Here is a 25,757-nt window from a genome sequence, read left to right as displayed (position 1 = left end):
GCAGAGGCTGGAAGAGCAGTGAAGAAGTGCTATTGCAGACAACCAGAAAAGCAACTCAGTTATAGCCGGGCGCAGTGGCTCACGCCTGTAATCCCAGCACTTTGGGAGGCCGAGGCAGGCGGATCACCAGGTCAGGAGATCAAGACCATCTTGGCTAACACGATGAAACCCCGTCTCTACTAAAGAAATACAAAAAATCAGCCGGGCGTGGTGGTGGGTGCCTGTATTCCCAGCTACTCGAGAGGCTGAGGCAGGAGAAAGGCGTGAACCCGGGAGGCGGAGCTTGCAGTGAGCCGAGATCGCGACACTCCAGCGTGGGAGACAGAGCGAGACTCCATCTCAAGAAAAAAAAAGAAAAGAAAAGAAAAGCAACTCAGTTATGTGGTGGCAGAACAACAAAGAAAATATAGCCTGCGGCAATTTGAAATACAGAAAATGAATGTGTGGATCTGTAAGGAGAGTGCCAGGCAGTGTTGAAGGTGCTTTTTAAGCTGCATCTGCTAAGTTGAGAGGAGAGAGATGAGCTGAAGAGAGAACTGTTCAGTTTGAAAGCAGAATTTAGAAGAAATATAGACGAGCTAGAAATTGCTGTGCTGAAAGATAAAATTCATTCACATGTCTGTCCTGTAGAATATTCCCAGTGTGATAAATGATCTTAGGAAAGATCATTTATCATAAGTACCTATTTAACTATGTTGTTATAAACCCCTTTAAAATCTGAGAAAGACTTAAAAGTGGTGTCTGGCTAGTAGCCTTTTGATCTCACCACTCTTAAGAGTCAAAAAAAGCTTCTAAGAATCAAAAGTATGTTGGCTAACAGCAGTTTTATATGCCCAAAGTAGACACAGAACAGTCCTAAAAAGAATTGTGGATGCCACTTTAGGGCATGGCATCAACTTCAGTAAAATTTGCAACAATTTTCAGAGGATGGTTCTGACAGGCACTGCCTCTTTGGGTCAAAAAAAGAGAAACGGGGAAAAAAAAGGCCTCTGAGTCTGAACTTCCTATGAAAAAGAAGCAGACTGAGGCGCAGCTGCAAAGACCAGCTATTTCTGACCAAAAAGTGAAGATGTCTTTAGAGAACAGAACCAAAAGACCAGACAGTGTAGCCAGATCCAAGATCTGTTATTTGTTACAAGATCCAGTAACAATGGAAGCACGAATCACTCCCAGGTTGTAGAACTGGGCTTTAACCAAATAACTTCTTTTGCCCACAGAAAAGGGGAAATGGGTGACATGTGCCCTACTGTTTTTCAGAATTGCTACAAAATTGAGACTGCTTCTCTTTTTATTCTTTTTTTAATTTATTATTATTTTAGGGTAGTTTTATATTTACAGAAAAGCTGCAAAGTTAATACAGAGAGTTCCCTTACGTAGACTCTTCATCTAGTTTCTCTATTAACATTTTACATAATCATGAAGCATTTGTCACAACTAAGGAACTAACATTGATACCTTACAATAAATCAAACCCTACAGTCTATTTCAATTTCACTACATTTTCTCTAATTTTTTTTTTCTGTTTCAGGATACCCTGTAGAATATGACAATACCTTTAGTCATCATGTCTCTTAGCCTCCTCCAGTCTGTGACAATATTTTAGTCTTTTTAAATTTTTTTGCATTTGATAACCTTGACGGTTTTGAGGTGTATCTGCCAAGCATTTGGGACACATTAAAGGTATTTGTCTCTCAACCTGGGTTTTCTTTATTTTTTTTTTTTTTATGGTTAGACTGCTCCAGCCCTAGAATCATCTTTTTCTCCAAGGAGTCCTGCTTCCTTCTCTTGGGTAATAGTGTTAGAAACCAAAATCCAGGAGCTGGGTGTGCTTATTGCTCCATTCTTAATATTTTAAAGGGAGTGTCTACTGTGGTGATTCTGTTCTTGTCTCACCAAGGTATGTTGAAGGTAGTTCAACAGGTAGTTCAGGTAGTTCTTTAGAACAATGGGAGAATTAACTAATACATGTTTCTAGTTCACATATCTCATCATCAAGAGAAGCTACATCTGAGGAGCCTCATCCATACCCAACCAGATGCTGATCATGAGGTCCTAGACTTAAAGCCTGGTGCTGTAATTGGGATGAAACTTTGAAGGTCCTGGATGGGATAAGCATACTTTACATATCGAAGGAATGTTAATAATTTGTGTAACCAAAGGTAGAGAACTCTAGAAGGTCATTTAATGGAAGCTTATGTCTGTGCCTTTGCAAAGTGGCTTTGCTGCTTCTCCCACACAAAGGTGGAATCTAATTCTCTACCCCCTTGAAACTGGGCTGGCCTGTGGTGGAAGAAATGTGGTCAAAGTGACATCCTTAAGTTTTTGAGCTTAGGCCTCAAGAGGCCTTGCAACTTCACCTTCATTCTCTCACAATTCTGTGGCTTCCAGGCTTTTGAAGAAGTTCCCCCAAAAAAGACCACATAGACAAAGGGGACTCAATCATCTCTGCTGTCCCAGATGAGCCCAGATCCCAGCTAACTCAGCAGCTGAGTGCAGCAACATGAGCCCAGGAAGAACAGCAGAATCCAGTAAACCTCAAAATCATGAGAAATGATGAATAAGTTTTAGAGTAGTTTGTTAAGAAGAAATGGATAATTAACACAGTATATTAATTGACTGTAATAAAGGCAACTCTTCTATTAATCCAAGTCTACTTTTCCATAAGTCCCATTTACCCAAGTCTGGGTTCTTGATACGCAATAATGTACGGTAAATTGCGATGATGAGTTAATAAGCTTTATTTTCCTTTATCATATTATACTGTCCTTATTGATGACATATTGAATTAATGCTTTAACTATGAAAGAGAGTTTTTATCAGTAGAAATTTTGAGAGCTGTCACAAATTGACAACAGATTTGGAGAATCGAAGCTTCTCATTAATCTTCAGATGGCATCTTAGAAATGCCTGCTTACTTTATCTGAAAGTAGTGATTAGTTCTCTAGGAGTCAAGTTAGGTAACTGCAGTGTAACTGTGATTTAAAACTGGTGGTTTAAAGTGATCAATAGGGGCAGCAGCTTTTTCATAGTCAAGTTCTATTTACCTTTTCAGATTTGCCTCAAGCCTTTGACTGTTTCCTGCTGTTCCAATCACACTCACCTTCTGGGTCTCTTGAAAATGCTAACCTCTTTTCTTTAGTTGATTTCTAGGTTTTTAATATCGTTAAATATTTTTTATTTTGATTGATTGATCATTTCATTCATCCCTTCAACAAATACATAATAAACGTAACATTTAAAGGGCCAGGAACACACCAATGATTACTAGATTGCCAGTATGTTTGGAAGTATAAAGTGAATAATTATGATAAAATACGGTGAATATATAACATTAGAAGAAAGAATAACATGTTAGCAAAACATATGTGTGCATCTAACATTAACTGAGTCAATTTTAATAAAGAATTTGACTCCATTTTTTGAAGTTTGACTACTCCTGACAACATTTAAGCTTCACATCTCTCTCTTTCCTTTCTGCCCCACATTTGAGCAAGCTGATAAGAAAGCTTTTTCCTTTGGTGCAAGAAAGTTCAAAACACTTTAGGGACTTTCCTTCAAGCTTCACCCCTTAACCACCATAAGAAGTTTAAGCTAGTCTCTTTTGCTTGTTTTTCAAGTAACTTTTAGACTAGCTTAAGCAGCCTGCCCTGCTCTTATCAGAAGGCCAAATTATGTAAGTTAATGAACATTTCCATACCCTTTTCGTGCCTTTGTGGCATCATCAGTCTCAAACCAAACTTTGGGTGGAGGTACCTGTCTCATCTCTAAAAAGTGACCACAAAATAGGTGATCATAGACAGTAGCTTGAATGGCATCTTAAACTGTGAGCACATAATATGTGGGATTATAGTTCTTCTTTTTTTTTTTTTTCCTGTTTTGCCCACAGGTATCTAAAATCCTTAAGGGCAAATAATTATTCAACCTTGTGCCTGTATCAACCAGCATGGTGCCTGGCTCATAATAGATGTTCAATTTTTTTTGATACATAAGTGATTTCTAGAAGCCAAAGGAGTACGATGTTATGAAAAAGAGTGGTCAAGAGTATAAAAGCAAACAAAATTAATAAGAAGAGGACTGAAAAGAGGAGCCACTGACTTTGGAAATTTGAAGTGAATGGCTATCTGTGCAGAACCCTTTAAAAGTGTAGTAGAGGCAAAGTTTAGACTGCAAAAGCCAGAGATGAGCAAGTAGAGACAGCAAATGTCTACTCTTTCAGCACATTGGAATTGAAATTATTCAGGGGGGACTGAAGAAAATCAGAGATAAAGGGCAGAAAAGGAAGCATGGCCAAATGAAGATTTTTGTTTTAAGAGAGAGGATAAATAACTTATTTTTAATATACTATAGTTACATCCAGTCTAGTAAAAGAGATCAAAGACACTTGGAAAATTAACTGATAGAGATGTGCCTGGGAAAACACAGTGGAAGTTTTTGTTTTTTTTTTTTTTAACACAAGTGAAACTAAATTAACAAGCAAGGTTAAGAGAAATTCAGAGTAGCACATTTGACCTTGATTAGAAAAAAAGGACGGTTCCACCAATTGCTTCAAAAAATACAAGTACATATGGATTTTGATGTACATATCTTTAGGTTACCAGGCAATGAATAGAAAGTTGAGGAAGAAAACGCATAATGGCTTCCTGAAGATAGAGGCAAGATAATCTGTGGAAGGCCCTTAGGAACAGGATTTAGAAGGGAGATTAAAGATGTAGTTGCATCTTGGAATACTGGAAAGTGGGAATGGTAAAGTTACTAAGCACAGAGAAGTGAAAGCATTGACAGCACTAAAGGTTCACTCTAGGATAGAGAGAAGGAATTTTCAGGAACACCAAACTGCAGAAATGGGATTACCTTCCAGCCACCTCATCTGGATACCAAACAATTGAGTCTCTATATACCACAAGAGTTGGAATCCTGAGTCTCAAGAACAGAAATATCAAATTCTCCCCCATTTTTACTCAGGCTGCTAGTAATTTTTCTAATTGTTGTGTCCTATTTTCCTTTATTCTCTCTCTTTCCTTCACATTGCCGGTGCTCTGGGCAAGTGTGGTATGAGATGCACAGTGAAGTGCCCCACACAGCTCCTCTGCAACTCGGGCTACAGAACATTGTTACCTAACATACACTTTAGATCAGTTTCTGATTTCTGTTTTGGATTGTGAGACGGAGTCCAAATATATATTTTATTAATTTTTGGATGTTCTGAACATTTAATGCCACTAAATCTATTACCCATGGAATGAGAATCACTTCAAAAGTGGATAAGAAATAAACTACAGTAAGCATATTCCAGAAAATGAAACTTGAAGACATACATTCACACATCTGGCAGTGATTCATAATTGAATATCATTTTCTCTCTAGTTATGATAGTTTACATCAGCCTCAATCCCCAAAATGAAAGTAGCTGAGTAATATTGCTGGCACCATCTCTTTATTCCAGCTCCATATGTGCAGAATAAAAGGTTTAACTATAATTCACTCTGGTAGCATTACACAGGGAATTTCAATGAAGGTGTTGAAAGAAAATAATTACCCATATAGCCTCAGGCTGGAAGGGAAATATCTCCTTTTCTTTTACGATGTATTTTTAGTGGATGTGTATGAGAGGCAACTCGGAGGATGGGATCATTTTCTTATATGACTACATCAATATGTGTTGGAAAAGTATAAATTTGTGAAACAAGGAGAAGATTTAAATTTTCCATGATAAGGGATATTACATCCCAACTTCCAGTCTTAGGAAAACTATTGTAAGTCACCCAAGAATATATGAATAGGGATAATATGTTTCAGATACTTTCTGGCCTGACATAATCATATTGAGCAAAGGCTTTGGTTAATCTGACATTGTCCTTTGCAATGTGACATAACTATGTACCCAGTTTTTGTTACCTAAGAATAACACTATAGGGATACTATACAGCAACAATACATTATGACTGATGCACAAGCTGAAACAGATGAAGTGATGAAAACATAAGTACCTAAGAATTATAGTACAGGGCTTCTTTTAAATACCAGACTAAAGAAAGTGTTTGTGACTGTGATCCTAAACTTTAGGGTCTAAAACTAAAGGGATTATCATTTTAAGATACATATTCCCAAGGCCACCCCAAATAAATCCTGATTCACTAAGTCTTGTGTAGGCCATTGGAATCTGTTTGCATTTAGCAAACAAACACTCATGACAATTCTGGTGTAGATGTTATAAGGTTCGCATTTCAAACAAGATTCAGGAGGACTCTAGCAACATCATTTGATTGATTTTAATTGATTAAACCTCTACTCTCTTAAGCTAGACTCTTACTACTTCAATGTTTTCATTGGCTAGGTGAAGAGGGACAATTGGAAAAACAAAAGGTTTCCATGAGACAGAAATTAGATGCCAATCCCATTTAGGGCAATCACACTGTTATTCTCAAATTTGAATTCCCGAGGCAAAGCAAAAGGCATAGATCCGAGCCCCAGAAAGAGTTGCAGTGTGGGAAGAATTGTGTTTGGCTTTATGAAACCCAGTTCTGCCATGTCTGTGTCACCAGGGGTTGGGGGCAAGGGAAGAACCGGTCATCCAAAAATGCCTGAGGCCTGTCACTCAGCCTGCCTCCCCTCCCCCATCCATTCCCCCTCACCACCCATCTTGCCTCCCAGCACCATGCTACCACCCCAAACCCTGTCCTCTGCAGCACCCAAAATATTCTTAACCATGCTTCTTCATCAAAATTTATTGTATGCTTTGTTATTTCAGGTCTTTGGGGACAATGTCTTATAAGCTCTTTAGATGAACTGGTTCTTTATAAGGCTAACACAATGTGTTACAATGGCTTCCATGTGTTTTTCCTTTCACATACTATTTACTCCAGCCCAAGTGAATGACTAATGATGAGAACTTCAAGCCTCTTGGAAGACTGTGAAGTAGATATTTGGACTTAGGAGACATTTAGATACTCCTGAAATCATACCACCACAGGGTCAATCATACCTACTAACTTTCTCCTGAAATATCTTTTGTAAGCCTGGCCTTATCTTCAGCCTTTATTTCTCCCCACAAAATCCATTCAATGCCTAGAAATTGCGTTCACTTCTCTCCCTTTCCTCCTCTCTCAGGCTTTGTTAGCATAAATTAAGGCACCCCTATTTAAACAATAGGTCCCTAACTACAAATTTAAGAAAATAGGGAGCATGGAAGCTTGAGAAGCCTGTAAGATATAAATCAAGGTGAATGGAAGTATAGAAAGAGAGGCGTTTAAATATGAAATTTGATCTGGAAGACACATGCTAGTCCAAAAGAGGTTCTGTATTTCCTCACTTTTCTAGCCTTATGAGTCCATAAATTGCTTCAAAACCAAGAAGATTTTAAAAAGTAGCTCTAGTAGTAAAGGAAATAAAGATAGATTTCTAGTTTTATTTTTATTTACTTGATTATCAAAGTATTTTATTTTTTAATGTAACAACTGTTCTTGTAATTTACGGATACTTATAGGACTTATTAATGAGCCAATTTCTAAATGACTCTTTAAAACAAGAGGCTCCAAATAAAAAAAAATTCTGAAAAACTTCCTACACTTACTATAGGGAATAGTCTTTATTATATAGAAGAGAAAGGAGATAAGTTTGATCAAAATGAATTTCTGGCCAGGTGCAGTAGCTCACGTCTGTAATCCCAGGACTCTGAGAGGTCGAGGCAGGCTTATCATCTGAGGTCAGGAGCTCAAGACCAGCCTGGCCAACATGGGGAAACCTCATCTCTACTGAAAAATACAAAAATTAGCCAAGTGTGGTGGTGCACATCTGTAGTCCCAGCTACATGGGAGGCTGAGGTGGGAGAATTGCTTGAACTCAGGAGGCGGAGGTTGTAGTGAGCTGAGATCACACTACCACATGCACTCCAGCCTGGGTAACAGAAAGAAACCCTGTCTAAAAAAAAAAAAAAAAAAAAAAATCCTGTTGCTGAATCAATTAAAAAAAAAAAGTAAGGATTTTTGAATAGGAAGTACTTTAAAAGAGATTGTTTCCAACAACTTAATCAACTTGGAGTAACTGAGCATTCTTCTTTAAAAAAAAAAAAAGCAAAACAAAAGAAAGCAAAAACTCAAAGTGGAAAGTTATCAGCAAGACTGTGCTCTGTGCCTATCTCTGAGACAACTGGTGAAATTAAGCAAGTCTATGCTGTTATTTTTGTTAAAACAGTATGATAACTTAGAGAAAACTAGACGAGCTACTTCAATTCTATCTTCTTTAATGAGATAGCTAATCATTAGGAACCATCACCAGAATATCATATGCCTCAGCTTCTGAATCACCATTGGCATGTTGCAAATCCATTCCTGAACACATCACTGTTTCATGGCCACAGCCTCATCTGAGTAGCCAGGTATTACTAGTTATGTCTATGCTAACCTACTGTCTCTAGCAGCAGAATGTTTTAACCAGACCATGATCAATTATTATGTTTTTAATACAAAAGCATGACATACAGTAAATGAAAATACAATTCTAGTACGGCCGGTTTTCAGATTGAAAAAAAAGAGAAAATTGTTAAAATTCTAGGAAATTCATAACTCCCTGCTTTTGCCTGAATTGTGTCCCTGCACAATTCATATATTGAAGCCCTAATCTCCAATGTGACTATATTTGGAGATAGGACTTATAAGGAGGTAATTAAAGGTAAATGAGGCCATAAGTGTCAGGCTCCGATCTCATAAAATTAGTGTTTGTATAAAAGAGACAGCAGAGAGCTTACTCTTTCTTTCTCTCTCCTCCCTGAGGACCCAGAGAGAAGGCATCCTTCTACTAGCCAGGAAGAGAGCCTTCATTAGAAACCAAATTGGCCGGCACCTTGGTCTTGGACTTGTAGCCTCTGAAACTGAGAGAAGTACACTCCTGTTGTTTAAGCCTCCAGTCTATGGTATTTTGTTGTAACAGCCCAAATAGACTAATACAGATTTTGGTACTGAGAAGTGAGGTACTACTGTAACAAATAACTAAAAATGTGGAAGAAGCGTTTTGAGGTGCATGCTAGAAAGAGCCTGGATTGCTGTGAAAGGACTGTCATGAACTTAAAGGCGATTGTGGTGAGGGCTCAAAAAGAAAAGGAAAGAGAAAGCCTCCATCTTCTTGGAGAAAAAATAAGTAATCCTAAATGGAGGGTTAGTAGAAATACGGTCATAACAGGCCATTCTGCTGAGGTCTCAGATAGAAATGAGGAACATGTTATTGGAAACTGGAGGAAAGGCGACTCCTGTTGTAAAGTGGTCAAGAACTTGGCTGCACCATGTTCTAGTGTTTTTTTGGAAAGTAGGAACACAAGTGATAAAACTGGATGTTTAGCTGAGGATATTTCTAGGCAAAACATTGTAACGAGTGACTTGGTTGCTCCTGACTGCTTTTAGTAAAATATGAGGGGAAAGGGGAATTGAACAAGGAGTTGTTAAGCAGAAAGTAACAAGAAGTTGAACATGTGGTAAGTTATAAGTCTGTTCATATTGCATAAAATGAGAAATCTTGTTCTGAAGAGAACACTAAGGGTGTGGCTAAACAACCATTTAATAAGTAGATTAATGTGGTTATGAACCATGAATCTGCTTATTAGCCACCTCAGCAGGAGCCAGAAATAGAGATAAAATTACGTCAGCAAACCACTGCCAGTTTGAACTGAAGGGGACAGAGATGGAACAAAATGAAGGACAGCGATCAGATTTTTTAGGTTCTACAGCACACCACCATAGAGCTACTCAGCTGTAACATGTGCTGTTCTTCAAAAAAAGAAAGAATGACACCACAAGCAACTCAGAGATCATCCATGCTGCCTCCTTGGTTTCAAAGGGTGGGATCATTGCCTCAATTTTAATAGGGCAGACAGCCTCAAATTGAAGTTCTAGGGGTGGGAAGACCCTGCAAAGCGATCGGGTGGAACCACCTGGTGGAACCACCCTGTGGAACTCTGGAGGCAGGACTGCTACCCCAGAGGGTCAAAGAGGTGGGGGATCAAAGCAAAAGGAATTATTTTTGTTTCTGGGTCTGATGGAATTTTCCTTGGTAGGTTTTGGACTTGCTTGGGACCTGTCACTACTTCCTTCTTTCTTATTTCTCCTGTTTGGCATGGGGATATCATTTCTATGACAATGCCACCATTGTATTTTGGAAGCCTATAGCTTTTCTGGCTTCACAGGTTCACAGTTGGAGAGGAATTTTGCATAAGAGTTAATCTTGTTTCTATTCTCATCTATGTATGATTTAGATGATATTTTATGAAACTTTGAACTTTAGACTTGTGGGTGGATGCTGGAATGAGTCAGGACCTTTGGGGCTCTTAGGATGTAATGAAAGTATTTTGCATATGATAAGGACATGAATTTGGTGAAGGCTAGAATGTTGTGGACTGAATTGTGTTTCCCCAAAATTTAATCCCTCACCCTCAAAGTGACTGCATTTGAACACAGGACCTATAAGAAGGTAATTAAGGTTAAACATCATAAGAATGGGTCCTGATCCAATAAGATTAGTGTCCTTATAAGAAGAGTGCTCTCTCTCTCTCACTCTTTCTCTCTCCCCCATATGAGGACATAGTTTGAAGGTGGCCATCTACAACCCAAGAAGAGAGCCCCCACCAGAAACCAAATTGACTAGCACCTTCAAGTTGGACTCCTCAGACTCCAGAACTAAGAATTAACTTTTGATTGTTTAAGCGCTGTAGTCTGGTATTCTGTTATAGCAGCCAGAACTAAGACACTACCATTTATCACCTTACTGCCACCCTATGTAGGAAGGCAACACTTTATCCTCTGCCATACTTCCTGTCATCTTTCCTTAATGTATTTTCATTTTGGCACATATTATCATCTAACTTACAATAAATGCATTTTAAACGTATTCTATTTTGTCTTCCCTTGTTAGAACAAAGTTTGTGAGGGCTTTTATTCTTTTTCTGTTTTATTATCTGCCATATCTCTAACACCTAGAAGACTTCCTTCGCTTCTTGTCTTTGGAAAAGTAGCCTTTAATAGACTGAAGAATATTGAATTCAGCCTAGGAAGTCAGGAAAGACAAACAACAGTATATAATGAAGAGCCAAAGCAAATAAAAAATTAAAATGTATATATTAATTAAAATTGAAATGCAAAGGATGTAAATCTGGTAAAAGAGTATGTCTAAATGTAGTTTTGTAGCAAAAAGTATTCTTATCAGCAGTCCATAAATTAAGGCACAGTATCTTACAGTCCTAGGTTGAGATTTTGTAAGAACAAATTACCAAGAATAATGGATACTTCCAGGAATATTCAACACATAATACTCTGCGGTCATTCCAAGAAACAGTATGTATTATTTGCTTTGCAGGAGAGTAAATACTATGAAATAATAGACGCAAATCCATTTAAGCATAATAGTTATCATATTTCGATTTATTTCCATGTAAATTGGTTGTTACATGCTGAGTTAGTACAAAGAATTATAAAAAAGATAATTAAATGCATTGAAAAATATAAAAAAATAACTGCAGCATATTAGACTACATGATTTTTAACTAAAAATCTTTGGATTGTGAAAGTACCACTTAACTCCCTATTTGAAATCTGGCCACAAACTCATTGCCAAACAGCATATTCTATACTGAATTAGATTATCATCCCACAAAATACAGAATGTGCATTTCTAAGGCATAATGTATGTTCAACAATATACTAATATATTTTGGAAACCACTAAATGTCAAGCATTATCCATACAGGGTATTAACACATTAATGTTTTCATTAAAAAAGAAAGATCTCTTTCTTCATCACATTACACATTTATAGAATAGAGATCTGTCAAATAAATTACTGCAAAGTAGTTCAAGCTAAAACTTATAACACTTGAATCATATAATCGGGAGCAAATAACCTTTAAAATGAAAGACAAATGGTGAAATTTAAGGGCATTTAATTTGCATAAATGTAATGTTAACAGTCTTTTCCTGGTTACATATTTTATGCTTAATTTATATATGTCACTCTATTAGGTCCTTAACACTCTTATAGGTCAGTTTTAATTTTTTCCAATTTTATTTTACCATAATAAGCATTATAGAAGTAGTTTGTCATATATAAAAATAAGGTAATCTCATAAAAATAATTCATTGTGACTCTAGAAACAATCCAGCATCAAGACCACTACACAGTTTTTGTGTTGTCAATGCCTGCTTCAAAATAAACATTTGCATTTTAGAATCTTGTGTGTCTAAACTCATGTTTAGCTCTTAAGCTCTCAGAACTCCATACCAGAGACTTCCTCCAGGTTAACAGTCATTGTAGCCTTGGTGTGTGGAAGTCTTAAAACAAAGGTCTTCATAAGGTACATGGTTTGGTCTTCCTTTACATTGAATAAAACATTAGCATTTGACCCCCAAGTTATTGGACTTAAAGTTTTATCCACTAAACTTCTACTATAAACACTGAAATGCATTAAAATATAACTGCTCAGACAATACTGTGTCCACTTTATCAACAAACTATAAAAACCATCCATCAATTAACTATGATTTTAATGTCAGAACTGATCCATAATCTCTAATAAATTAGAAAGTGCCTGCATTATACAAATTCAATTACAGGAGTTGCATAGCAAAATATCAATTTATACACAGCAAAATATATTTTCATTTTTGACTTTCCTTAACTCATGCTTACCTACCAGTGACCAATGAATTAGAGATGGTGAATATTACCATCCGCCATTGGAATAATTTAATTGGACAAAGCAGAATAAAATTATTTTCTCTAAGGAAACTTTACCTCCAATTATTACTTCTGCTTTTCCTTGGAAGAGTGTTTGATGGGAATGTGAGTTGGCCTCACTCATTTCAATCCAAGTTAGTGATAAAGAGACTGAGGCTACCATAGGGACAAACACTATTCTTTGTAGTTCATTTCAATCAAAATTGAAATGGCTGGATATGTTATAAGAATTCAAAACCTTTCTTAATTCTCTTTCATTTTACTACATTGCCCTACCTACGATTTAATGTTAAAATTAATGGCCATATGAATGTTTACCACACATTTGCTAGAGACCATTATAATCCATCACTTGGCAGGCACTAGAATTTACTTTTATAGATGCCAGAGAAAGCACCTAAATGGCTGGTATTTTAATTTTAGTTTCAACTTGTTTCTCAAACTCACTTTAAAGTACCTAGCTTTTTCTTACTCTGGTAATTTTTAGAGCGGTTAAAATGCTGTTAAAAGCTTAAGCATAATTATGTGTCTATGCCTATCTTTGAAGGTGATAATTTTTTCCTAGGTAAATCAATTTGCTAAATTAAAATGTGAAATTCTATGTACTTGTATGTGATTGAAAATATATGTATAAGCATGAAAACAGTAACATACAGTTCAGCCTAGCCTATGGCGTTTATTTGTCAATTATCCTGTTGGTTTGGTGGGTTTGAAGATAATCACATCAAGCTCTCCTCTAACAAAAGAAAAAAAAATCTATGAAGATCTACCTACCTATCCATCCATATGGATATAGATAAACATATTATATTGACTATCTCTGAAATAGGGAAGTCAAAAATTATTACAGTTCATCTTATACTGGAATAGCACAAAGCTATTCTGCTAGTGGTATTTTCTCATCTAAAAATTATAAAATGTGTAATTTTCATATTCTCTTTCTCCAACAAAGCTTCAGTGGAAAACAGAGCCTCTTATTGGGTAGAAATGTTAAAATTAGAGCTATTGGGTCTGAAGATCCTAAGCATTTCCAATATTCACAGCAAAACAGACCAATGTCAAGAACTTGGTTTTATTTGGATACCCGTTTCTTTCGATTATGAAAACATTCCTGAATACTTCAGAAATGGATGTATGGAAAGATATGGAAACGAATTATTTCCAGTTTTTCATTCGTTTTGTTTGGTTTACTTTTTGTGAATTTCACATCTTACTGTGTAAAGTAATATTTAGCCTTATTGATATTTCAGAGGCCTATACAGAGAGAAGTTGTGTGAAAATGGCACATTTGCTAAGTTGTTTTTATGTATTAGTTACAGATTATCTTAAAATTTTACAAATGGCTTGTAAATGTTCCAAATTACCTATGACAAAAGTATTTCTCAATTTTAAACATCAACTTACAGCACAATAGAAATAAAACAACACAAAATAATATGGTAAAATAAAATAAAACCATGTTTACCCTTCAGTACACTAAAACTAAACACATACTGATTTTTACATAAAATAACTAAGCGAATCTTCTTACTAACAAAAATGAGAAAAAAAAGTTGGCAGTTCTTTCCAACTGCTATGCAGTTACTAAGTCACATCGTACTTATTGTAGCAGAGGTCATCTGTAGGATCTAAACAACCAAAAAGTTGTGCAAAATGCCAGCATATGGCCTCTTCAGGCAGTTGGTAAAGACAAGAGCTGTACTGTGACAAAAGGGTCTCAGACTTCACTGTGGTCACTGAGTTTGCTCAAATTCTGAAATACCAGAGGAAGAAGTAAGTATGTGCTATTTACTCAACTCTTAAATTGGTACCAAAGTAAAAGAACAGTAGTAACTGAAGCAAGCTGTCCAGCTAAGCCAAAGAAAATGAACCTTTTATGAGGCATCAGAGTAGAGCAGTTCAAAGCTCCAGGTCCAAACTCAAACTGCTGACTCTGCAACCAGCTCTACCACTTACAGATGGTGTAATTTCCCTGGTCAGTTTCCTTGTTTCTAAAAATGGGTTAAATTATCATATCTACCTCATAAGGTCATGGCAAATTCAGTTAAACAACATAGTAAAGCTTTTAGAATATTCCTGGAATATAATGAGGGCACTCAATATATGTTAGATTTAATAATAATAGTGTTATTATTATTTTGTAAATACATACTGTTCTGATTGTATACAATAGGGATGACTCTGCGAGGCACCAAATGTTATTCTAGGGGTGAGGAAAGGCAAAACAATTCAAAACTCAAGGAAAAATTGCAGGAAATTAAAGCTCTAAGAACAGTTGTAAAACTAAACCATAAGCCCAGCATTTGTAAAATAACTTTGACACTTCAGATCATGTGAGCACTAGATTCTACAAATAGTATTTCCAAAGATGGCAATATAAGCTTAGAGGCAAGATATCAGAGCAGAAAAAACTTAAAAGGCCATATTTAGAGTTTTTATATTTGAGAAAGGTGGATTCAAGTCCCCAGGACAGTAGATCCTGGAAGAAGCATTTGTTGTACAAGTAAGCAGTTTGCAAATGATAGGCAACCACCCAATCCTCAGAGCGGTGGCATTGTTGGAAGATCCAAGTTATCAAACAACAGTTTATAACTGGCCTAAAAAAAGAATGGAAACATTCTTTTACCTGTAATAGAAAGTCTGAGGTGGGGTGGGGTGGGGGGCTAACAGATTTTAGATGCCAATGGAGTAATAAGCTAATATAAAAGATGCAAAGCTTCGATTCTATATTCTGAATATTCTTATAACTCCTTCAGCCCAACTTAATCAACTCACCTTATTTGAATGGATATGACTTATTGCAGCAGATACCGATTCAAAAAAAATTGGTTTCTCTGAGTCTAGGTTTCCATAATACGTCATTGCTTTTATCAAGGAAGCTTCAAGAAAGCACAAGTGATATAAGAATACATGTGGAAGTGCAGAAAAATCACATTCAACGTTAGTCAGGGACATTCTCTTACCTGTACAATGGGCTAACAATACATCCACACTCCTGCCTTTACAGTCCATGTAAACCTGGAAGAATTAAAATAGGATACCCACAATTAATTCAGAATAGCCAGCAGGAGGAAATAAGATGGGCTTCAGAAGAAATCAAACTTTCTTTAAAGCCGATGTTTACGAAGTCAAACCACCAGAGGGAGGCATTGTTACACAGTCAGGCATAATCTGGCAAGCGTCTAAAAGACTAAGATTAATACAGCAGGGCATCTACCTTTATTGCAACTAAATTTGACTGCTTACCTTTTCCACATCATTTAATAAAAGTAAAAACAGTGCCTCTGCTGCCCTATAAGAATGATATAAAATTGTTTTCAACCTCTTTTAATAGAAGACAAGGACCCATTTGTGAAAGTGAAGAAAGCTGCAGACCTACTGCTTGCTTTAATATTTTACAATAATTTGGATATATTCACGGGCTCTACAAACCCGGTGCATGAATGTTAAATTGAGAACCTCACTATAATCCAAGCCAAGTTTGATTACCCAACTTCCATTTTAAAAGGAATGCAAGATGAGAGATCCTAATTCATTTGTTTGGCCTCTTTTAAGAGTTTTGCCTCTTTTAAGTCCTAGAAAATCTCAAGCAGAAACAACTTATTAAAGGCTCTGATCTTAAATTCACCCAAATCAAAGTCAGTCTATGAACTTCTGTAAAAGTAAATTTAGGCGTTTTAGTTACCAGAGGATGGATTTCGTTATATAACAGTGATGTATCTGACACATAAAATATAGAAAGGTGCATTTACAATATATTCTAATAGTGTGCATTGTACATTCAAAATTTCATTCATATTCTTCCAGCAGTAAGAAGTTCTATGTGAGAAGAATTGTGAAATAATGGGAGATATATTACTAAGCATAAATGAGAAAACAGCAAAAAGCATGGACTGCATCTTTGCCATTGAATAAATGGCTCCCATTTTTGCAAGTTAAAATGATTAATTCAAGGTGACCTCCCAGTGTTTCACTCTTTCTTAAACTCAGTGAAACATAAACACATTGCTATGGGTGGTTTGTTGATGCTGATAAATATAATCTCCAGTTCACTGACCTCCTCAATGTCCCAAGTAAAAGAACAAAGAGAAGTCAGCCTACTTCCTTCAACCTACAACTCCCAAGAGAACGTTTCTTATGCTAAAGCAACTAAGAAAACAATGCAAGGAGTGTTGTTAGAAAGCATGAAGGCATGCAGGGCTGAAGAGTCCTTGTGGCTGTTTACTCTGAACCTTCTTCCATGGTGGCTGGAACTAAGAAATAATATGCAATGATATTATTTACACTTTCAGAAATGACATTTTTAAAATGAGAAAAAATAACAGAAACTAGCATTATTGAGTTCTTCCTAACTGCTAGACACTTTCTTAGGTGTTTTATATGCAATACATCATTTTTAAGCCTCACAACAACTTGATGAAGTGGGTATTTCCACTTCCAGTTTACCGAAAAGCAAGTAAACACTTAAGTCCAGATCACAGAACTAGTACATAGATGATATTTGGAACCAGGCTTAGTCTATCTTTAAAGTCTATGTTCTTAACATAGATCACGCTGTTACTGTAACCATAATGAAATAAAGAAAATAGGAATAATAAGGAAATTTAAAAGGGCAAACTGATACAAAACTGCTGGTTTTGTATATATAGATAAAACACACCTGGCTAAGGGAATGTCATTTTATGCCAATTTAAAAATAAATTGCATCAGTTGATTGATCCTGTCATTCCAGTGTACAGATCTTTAAAACCACTAAGATGAATGATGAAAAATAAGTCTTTTTTCAACATGTCCAGTGCCAAGATTGTTTGAATTTCTCTGAATTGTCAGCCATGGATCCTAAACTCAGTGGGAGTAGGTAACCATTTCTCCTTCTTTCTTTATTAACCCTAAGTCCTGTTTGTAATATCTAGAGAAGGAAGCTAATAATTTCAGAAACCAATTTAAAATGGAATTGAACAACAACAACAACAAAAACCATACTGGCCTTTCCCAGTTTAAAAAAAAAAAAATCCTAGTGTTTCTCAAAATAGGATCCTTGAGCCCCCTGCATCAGAATCACCTATGGGTGTTTAAAATGAAGCTCCTAGGTCAGAACCAGAACCCAGAAGACTGCATTTTCAATGAGCACCTCAGAAGAGCCTTAAACACACAATTATAAGAGACTCTTGTAGACTTTAGGAACATAGAGTAAATAAAAATGCCGAATACAAGAGGCCCTCCTGTGAAGAGGAACCATGTGTTTACAATTTAGGTTCAGCTAGAAGAAAACACGAAGTATTCAGGTTGAATCCTAAGTCCAACCGTGAAAAGGTTTTATAGTGAACCACAAGCAAATAAAAATATATTCGGTGGGGAGAAAGGGCGACTTGCTAAAAATAGCCACTAGATTTCAGGCCTCTGATACTTAAACTTCAATTGTTTTAAGCTATTTCTTTATTTTCGAAATATCTGCCAATTCTGAAACAAAATCGCTGCCTCATTTTTACAAAATGAATAAACTGAGATCCAGAGAAGTGAGATGATGTCCCCCACACCTTAGCTAGTGTGATGCAGCTGGGACTATGCTGTGACTTCCACATACTAAGCAATTCCCCTACACACACTCCCACCCGTATCTTCACAGGAAAGCAACACTAATGTTGACCTTTGTACTATCCTGAGTTTGAAAGGCTGGACATTTCAAAGTAAATTTAAGATATAAATGAATAGAGACACAAGGTATGCTACACCACAAGAAAACAATCCCAGTCCACAACATGAGACCTTTTCAAGGATTCTGATCTGAATCCTTTAAAAGTCAATGTCTGGTTTCCACTTTCTGACCATGCTGTGTAACTAATACAAGACTATCCCCTCCTCCACAAAGAAGTACACAACTGGACAAAAATATACAACAACCATGTTTAGACAATCGGCACCAGGCAGGGCAGCACAGGGTGGCTGAGTTTCCTGAGAAAGGTGGACAAATGGGGTGAGCCCTCCGATCATGGCAGCTTTCTGCCGCAAAGCAGTTTCTGGGTCCTGGCATGATGAGGGGGACCCATTAAAAATGTGGCAGCTTCCCTGAGCTGCACAGACACAACCAGAGCTCAGGGAGAGATCAATGGTGAGGAAAGAACTCTAGAAATTTCCATAAGGTTTTAATTATTTGGCTCAATGTCAAGCCACGCAGGGAGGCTCTAGGTGGTCTGAGTAAGAAAACCTCTGGGAAGTAAACACCTGAAGATGAGGTGAGCCGATTCACAGGCTCAGAAGCTGGCAGAAGACTGGGGAAACCAAAGAACAGATGCTGCCCCACCCTCAAGACGTCCCACCACCACCAATTCAGGGTATTGAGGGAAAGAACAAAAAGAAATAAGAAAGAAGGTGAATTCCCTGTTGACTTAGTATTTACTAAAAAAAGAAGGAGGTTCACGCCTGTAATCCCAGCACTTTGGGAGGCCAAGGCGGGTAGATCACGAGGTCAGGAGATGGAGACCATCCTGGATAGCATGGTGAAACCCCGTCTCTACTAAAAATACAAAAAAAATAGCCGGGCGTGGTGGCAGGTGCCTGTAGTCCCAGCTACTCGGGAGGCTGAGGCAGGAGAATGGCGTGATCCCAGGAGGCAGAGTTTGTATTTGCAGTGAGCCGAGATCGCGCCACTGCACTCCAGCCTGGGCGATAGAGCGAGACTCCGTCTCAGAAAAAAAAAAAAAAAAGGCGGGTGGGGAGGTAAAAAAATCTTAGAAGTGCCTGAGTTTTCTGTGAATTGGCAAAATTAGGTGTTCTTCCATCTGTGGAAATGAGGTTTGGAAGCTATGTCAGTTTTAAAGCCATAAGTGGAGTGTTATTTTTTGCATACCTGGATCATGGAAACCACATGCAGATCACAGGGTAGAGAAAGAAGCACCATTGCCTGAGAGAACAGAGAAAAGCCCCTGCATTGGGCACTACTTGTGAGACCAGAAATGATATTAGGCCAAACTGTACCCAACCGTGATGTAAGAGAAAACCTCCTGCCATCATCAAGGCACTTACTTATGCAGCCTGTGCTCTAGAATGGGCTTTTCTCCTTCCTAGAATCCTTGTAAATTGACTGCCTAGGAGCTCCTATGCCCACTGTATCTCAAGTCTATGTACTGTTCTCTCTGACTACCCCATGCAAATATTCTGATCCCTGACCCTCACACATACATACAACTAGAAGCTGAATAGGATCTCCTGAAAACAAATCTACAGTGATGGTAGGCAAAGTTCTACGTCCTTTGTAAATAATGGGGTGAGATGAGTATTGCAACAAGCAGGCTCAAGACTATGGAGAGAAGGTGGTGAAAACCCCTGTTACTGAACAAAAGGGAAGAAACAGTTCTAAACACAAGTTCCATAAATACCTCAACAAGCATGGAGACTCCAGAATAGTCAAAAAAGGTAAATCCACTGCAATCCAGGATTAAATAACACTTCTCATTAGGGCAGGACTGTGAAGCTTCTTCTGTAGGAGAAACAGAGACTTGAGTTAGGGAGAGTTTTAAGAGACTTCTGCTGCTGGCTTTGTTGACTGGTGGGAGGGTAACAGTGGCCTCATGTTTAACAACAGTAATTCTAAACACTTTTAATTTTTACATTTTTCAGTAAATTATTAATTATTCCTGAACTCTCTGATTTTGTATTACTGGAATGCAATTTCAGGTGATTATGACATGACTCAAAGAAGAAGACAAAATAGGTTAATTACCAGTATCATTTCATACATGGACAAACTGAGGTTCAGTTTAAAAGTTTAAATAATTTTTAAAGAATATCTGGCAAGTTAGTGCTAAACACAGACAGAAGCAAAGTCTCTAGACATTCTGAATAGTACCTTTTCCACAATATCACAATGTTTCCTTAGTAGGTATGCCCGGAGTAGAGCCCCGTTTTGTGGTGCCTGAAGCGTATACAATTTTGGAATCACTCTAAAAAAAAAAAACTCCATTGCTAGGGCTTGTCCCACAGCCTTGGAAGGGATCTGTATGACAGGCCCTGAAAATTAAGCTTCATTCGGTTCATAGTAAATCGGCCTCTGAATCTACCTGATGAAAACAACAAGATTTTACTTAGGAGTTCATGACCTCTTTTTGACTGATATTCTTAGGGCCACGATTTCCTTACATGATATGACCTATTTCTTAACAGTGACAGGCCACATTTGGGGTCCCTCCGAGGAGTGATGTGGCTTTCAGAGCAAATCACATATGCTGATTCCCCCACCACTGTAGGCAAAGTCTATCACTTAAATTCAAATTCATTAATTATTATGAAATTCTCTGAAAAAATTAATTCTTAATTTAAATAGCGTTGCCATTTAAAATGTTCAAGGTTTTTCTGTATAGTGGCTACATAAAAGTGGGACTGTGGTTCTTTCTCAAGTTGGGAGAAAATATGAGGGAAATAGTGCAACTAAAAAAAAATCCCGCTCGGGAGGCTGAGGCAGGAAGATGGCGTTAACCCGGGAGGCGGAGCTTGCAGTGAGCCGAGATCCCGCCACTGCACTCCAGCCTGGGCAACAGAGCGAGACTAAAAAAAATCCCGCTCGGGAGGCTGAGGCAGGAGAACGGCGTGAACCCGGGAGGTGGAGCTTGCAGTGAGTCGAGATCGTGCCACTGCACTCCAGTCTGGGCAACAGAGCAAGACTCCGTCTCTAAAAAAAACAAAAATCCTGCTTACAGATTTAAAAAAAGCAGTAAAATAAAAAATGAACACTGAAAATTTATATATGACAGTAACTGTTAGGAAAAGGAGAAATGCTACAAAGTAATTTCTATGTATTTGAAAAGTGGTAGTCAGGTATAAGACTTGGTTTTCAGTTTCATCTTTAGATCTGTATTTATATTAATCCAATAACATGCTTTAACTGAATAATAACTATGTTATGTTTGTACTATGTTCAAGAAGGAGTGGATAATAACACTAAATAATCAGTAACTTTTAAGGAGTAATTTTTTTAAGGAGTGGGTGATAACAAATATGAGTGAGGTCTTATTCCTTTCTTTAGGAGCTTATAATACTTTTGAGTGTCAAGGATAGCAATGGTATATAAATGACATGATTAAAATGATAAAATGAATAAAAATGTGAATTTACAAAACAGAGTAGTCTCTTTGGAGTAATCAGGGAAGACTTAATGCAAAAAGCAGCCTTGCAGGATATATCAGATTGATTCCAAAAAGGAGAAGTAATGTAGACGTGTATGCATTCTAACCATGTGGACAGCCTTAATCAAACACTAATGACAGCTTAAGATCTCAAACTCCCTCTGCTCCCATTCAACCATTTAATGAGGACCAACTATATGCCAGGTACTCCAGTAGTGCCTTCTGTTCTGCTGTTCCCAGGGCAAGGGGGGCTAAGTGGTTAGTGGACATTCAGGCTATGTTTCCTTCGGCCTGAAATGGTAAACTAGAACCTCAAGCAAAATTGAAAATAGCCACAACATAGCTCATCTACTGACCACTCAACTGTAATCACTATCATTCATTATTTGCCTAATTAAACATAAGATTTATCTCTACTAATGCAGAGGCTTTTATTTATATTTTCAGGTATAATATGCCCTGGCTTATTATCACAGATAGGAAAGTATTAAGATTGCAGGAAATAGAAAAATACTCTATGCAGAGAGTACTTCTTCTAATCAACAGTGGAATGTTGACTGGTCATAAATGCATTTTTGGAAATGTTCTATTAAATTTTCACAGTATAAAAATCTCTAACAATTAAATATTAGGTAAACTTTCTGAGAAAACATAAAAAATTTATATAATATACATAGGTAAAATATATATAATGGAGTTAGATGTTTTCTTACAAAGTAAGATTTAAAAATTAGTAAGACTAATCATGTTTACAATGTATATTGGAGCTTAATATTTGAAGATTTCTTACACTGACTTTTTCAAACTTTTTTTAGAAAATAAAATTTATATGGTTTCTTTAAAGTCAGTAATGAGTTGGGGCCAGATGATGCCAGTTCTTGAAAGTCAGTTGTGTATATATCTTCCATGCTTAATGACAGCATGTTGGTAGCTTAAAATCAGTGATAGTAGAAATATTTACACCATGGAAATTGGCAAATGCTACAGATCAGAACTTCTCCACCATCCGACCTTATATCCCCACTCCAAGAATCATTTGTTATTCACCAGCATATCACTGCTTAAACGTGGGTACTCTTATTAAATATAAAGAAAATCATCAGTAAGTTTTAAAAATCCAATGGCTTTGATTAAATGAAAGACTTAAACCACTGACATATTTGACAATACATCTTAAAATAACAATGATGACACAAATTGATGTCAAATTTTGTCCTTTTTTATCCACTTACTTGTTTTTACCAAATGATACCTCTTTTATAAAATAGTACATATTTCAAAATAATCTGCAATCTAAAATTTGTTCAAAAATTTCCGTAGAAAAAATTAGCATTCATATTTAACTTAAATATTAAGAATTAATAGATTATGAATTTTTCTAAGATATTTAAGCCTTATTATTTATTTACTACCAAACATAATAGTAATGTCTATAAGACAGGCTTGCTAGAAAGAAACTGTAATCTGAAAGAATATTAGCAGTTGTTTTATTTGGAAAATATTTCAATGCATTGCTTTTCCTGGAAGATGCTCCATAAATTATTATCTATAACTGTCTGACATGAGTTCAATCATCCCTATCCACAGCCATGGCAAACATGGCTAATGAATTTTGATATTTTTTTCCACTGAGTTCAAACAAGACCTTACAATTTCCATCAATTCAGTGCTTCAGGAAGCCACTACTAGCTGATCAAAAACTTATTTGTCATTCTGAACTTAAAAAAAATTACAGTGAAAAACAATCTGTGTATATGTTACTTAGAGAGATTGATAACTGCATTTAATTGACTAGAAAATGGTGATTAAAAGGTATTGAAAATTCTTAAACAAGTTTTTGTTCCTTTTCTATCCTACCATATTTCACTTCTAAATTGTACTTGCAATTTCCTTTATTTTCTTGTAATTATCTCATAATGTACATGATGATAGATTATTAACTCTGAAAGTGTTTGGGGCTTTATCAATAGTGATTTTAAAATGTCCCTTCCATTGTCTGAGAGTGTGTTCATGCCATGTTTGCTTCGTCTTTATTTTTTTATCCAACTTCCTCTGTGCTATCCCTTTAATTGAAGTATTTGTATATTTTCAGGCCATCCAAAAATAAAAATAAAGTAAAGCAAAACAACAGGCTTATGCCTTATAGTTGTGGATAATAATTTAAGTAAGCTATTTGAAGAGAGGCAATTCATGATTTTCTTCTAAATGAGAAAACACAGTCTTAATGGTAAAGTTACCCATTCACCCAAATGAAAATTTAAATACAATGGACATTTCTAACATTTTTCCAAAAATAAGTGAAGTTTTCTTTTACACAGTATCCTTTCAGTTCTGCCATTGCACTAATTTTATGGCTATAACCTTGTGTTCTATACTCCTAAGGAAATCAACCAGAGCAATAAAAATCATATAATCCTAGAAAAGAGTAAAGTGAATGTACAGCTAATATCCTGCCTTAAGCAAAATGAGGTAAGCTTGGAGCATGTGCAAAGGAGACAACTAATCTATACCCATGTGGAATGTGGTAAATGATGGGCTTTATCTACACAAAAACAACATTTCAGAAAGAAATTAACCATCAGGTGTGGGTGGGTAATTAACTCCAGACTGTGGAAGCCAGCTCTCTCCTGTGGAATATTCATTAACTTCTTTAATTAAAAAATATTCATAGTTGCATAATTTAAGAGTGCTTTTTATATACTTCAAAGATTCTTGACAGTCTGTGAGTAACTCATAATTTTTTAAAAGAAAGTATTTTCTGTTGATATCAATTAACTATTGAAAAGCAGATTTATATCTTGAATTTCTCAAGAAAATAAGAAGATAAATATTGAAGACAAACCACAGCATTGCCTTTGGAAAACACGTGCACATATTATTGAACATTTCTTTCCTTCTTTCCTTCCTTCCTTCCTTCCTTCCTTCCTTCCTCCCAGCAGTCAGCTAATATAGATGTATTGAGTGCCTACTCTAAGCACTGTCCTAGAAAATCTAAGTACAATGATGAACAAGGAAGACAGTAATCACTGCCCTCAACAGACTCACAATCAGGTAGGGAAACTAGTCAGTTGAACTAGTAAATTAAAGTGTGATGAGGGCTGGAGATGGGCAGAAAATGCTATGGAGATGAAGGAGACCTTGTGTGATGGACAGAATAATGCCCCTTAAGGATGCACGCATTTTAATCTCCAGAAACTGCGAATATGTTGCTTACATGGCAAAAGGGACTTTGTAGATTTGATTAATTTAAGGATGTTGAGATGGGCAGGTTATCCTAGATTTTTCAGGTAGGCCCAGTGTCATACAAGGAGACAGGAGGTTCGAGGTCAGAGAAGATGTGGTGACAGAAGAGACCACATCTCTTCTGAGATTTGAAGATGAGAGAGGAGAGATTTGACGATGTCACACTGGCAGCTTGCAAATGGAGGACAGGGCCATGACCCAAGGAATACAGATGGCCTCTGAAAGTTGGAAAGGGCAAGGATATGAGTTCTCCTCTAGACCCTCCAGAAGGAATGCAGCCCTGCCAAAACTTGATTTTATCTCCAGACTCATTTCAGTGACTTCTGTCATCTAGAACTGTAAAATAACAAATCCGTGCTGTTTTAAGCCACTAAATTCATGGCAATTTATTACAGCAGCAACAGGAAACTAATATACCTGCATTGTTTATTTGGGAAATGAGTAATAAGGGTGGGAACTTGTTTAGATTTCAAGGTCTATGATGGCAGAATTCATGTCTACTTTCTTCATCCTTGAATATCCAGCATTCATTGTTGTGCCCAGGATTTATTAGATGTTCAATATGTACAAGAAAGATTAACTGAGTGAACAAGAGCATGAATTAATGCAGGAGTGAATGGAAGAATGTGATGTGTGAGCTGAGACTTGATAATGATTGGAAGTTAAGTAGATGACTAGGCA

The 25,757-nt window shown here is 36.7% G+C and overlaps 1 protein-coding gene across 4 annotated transcripts in view; it reads right to left on the bottom strand.

Annotated features, from left to right (window-relative positions):
• Nucleotides 1-11,373: 11,373 nt before the first annotated feature.
• The window catches only part of SLC26A7 (solute carrier family 26 member 7), a 188,660-nt gene continuing 174,276 nt past the window's right edge, over nucleotides 11,374-25,757 (bottom strand). For 3 of the 4 annotated variants that reach the window (NM_001282356.2, NM_001282357.2, NM_052832.4), the window contains 4 exons: nucleotides 20,091-20,191; nucleotides 15,678-15,732; nucleotides 15,490-15,593; nucleotides 11,374-14,467 (listed from right to left, as the gene is read on the bottom strand). In NM_001282356.2, the coding sequence (NP_001269285.1) occupies nucleotides 14,432-14,467; nucleotides 15,490-15,593; nucleotides 15,678-15,732; nucleotides 20,091-20,191 (296 nt within the window). In that variant the 3' untranslated portion in view covers nucleotides 11,374-14,431. Of the gene's footprint in view, nucleotides 14,468-14,810; nucleotides 15,312-15,489; nucleotides 15,594-15,677; nucleotides 15,733-20,090; nucleotides 20,192-25,757 lie in introns of those variants that run through there. The other variant, NM_134266.2, reaches the window with a different exon arrangement.

Source organism: Homo sapiens, chromosome 8 (assembly GCF_000001405.40).
Source record: "Homo sapiens chromosome 8, GRCh38.p14 Primary Assembly".
Classification (NCBI taxonomy): Eukaryota; Metazoa; Chordata; class Mammalia; order Primates; family Hominidae; genus Homo; species Homo sapiens.
Note: the sequence above shows the minus strand (reverse complement) of the source record. Positions and strands in the feature narration are given on the sequence as shown.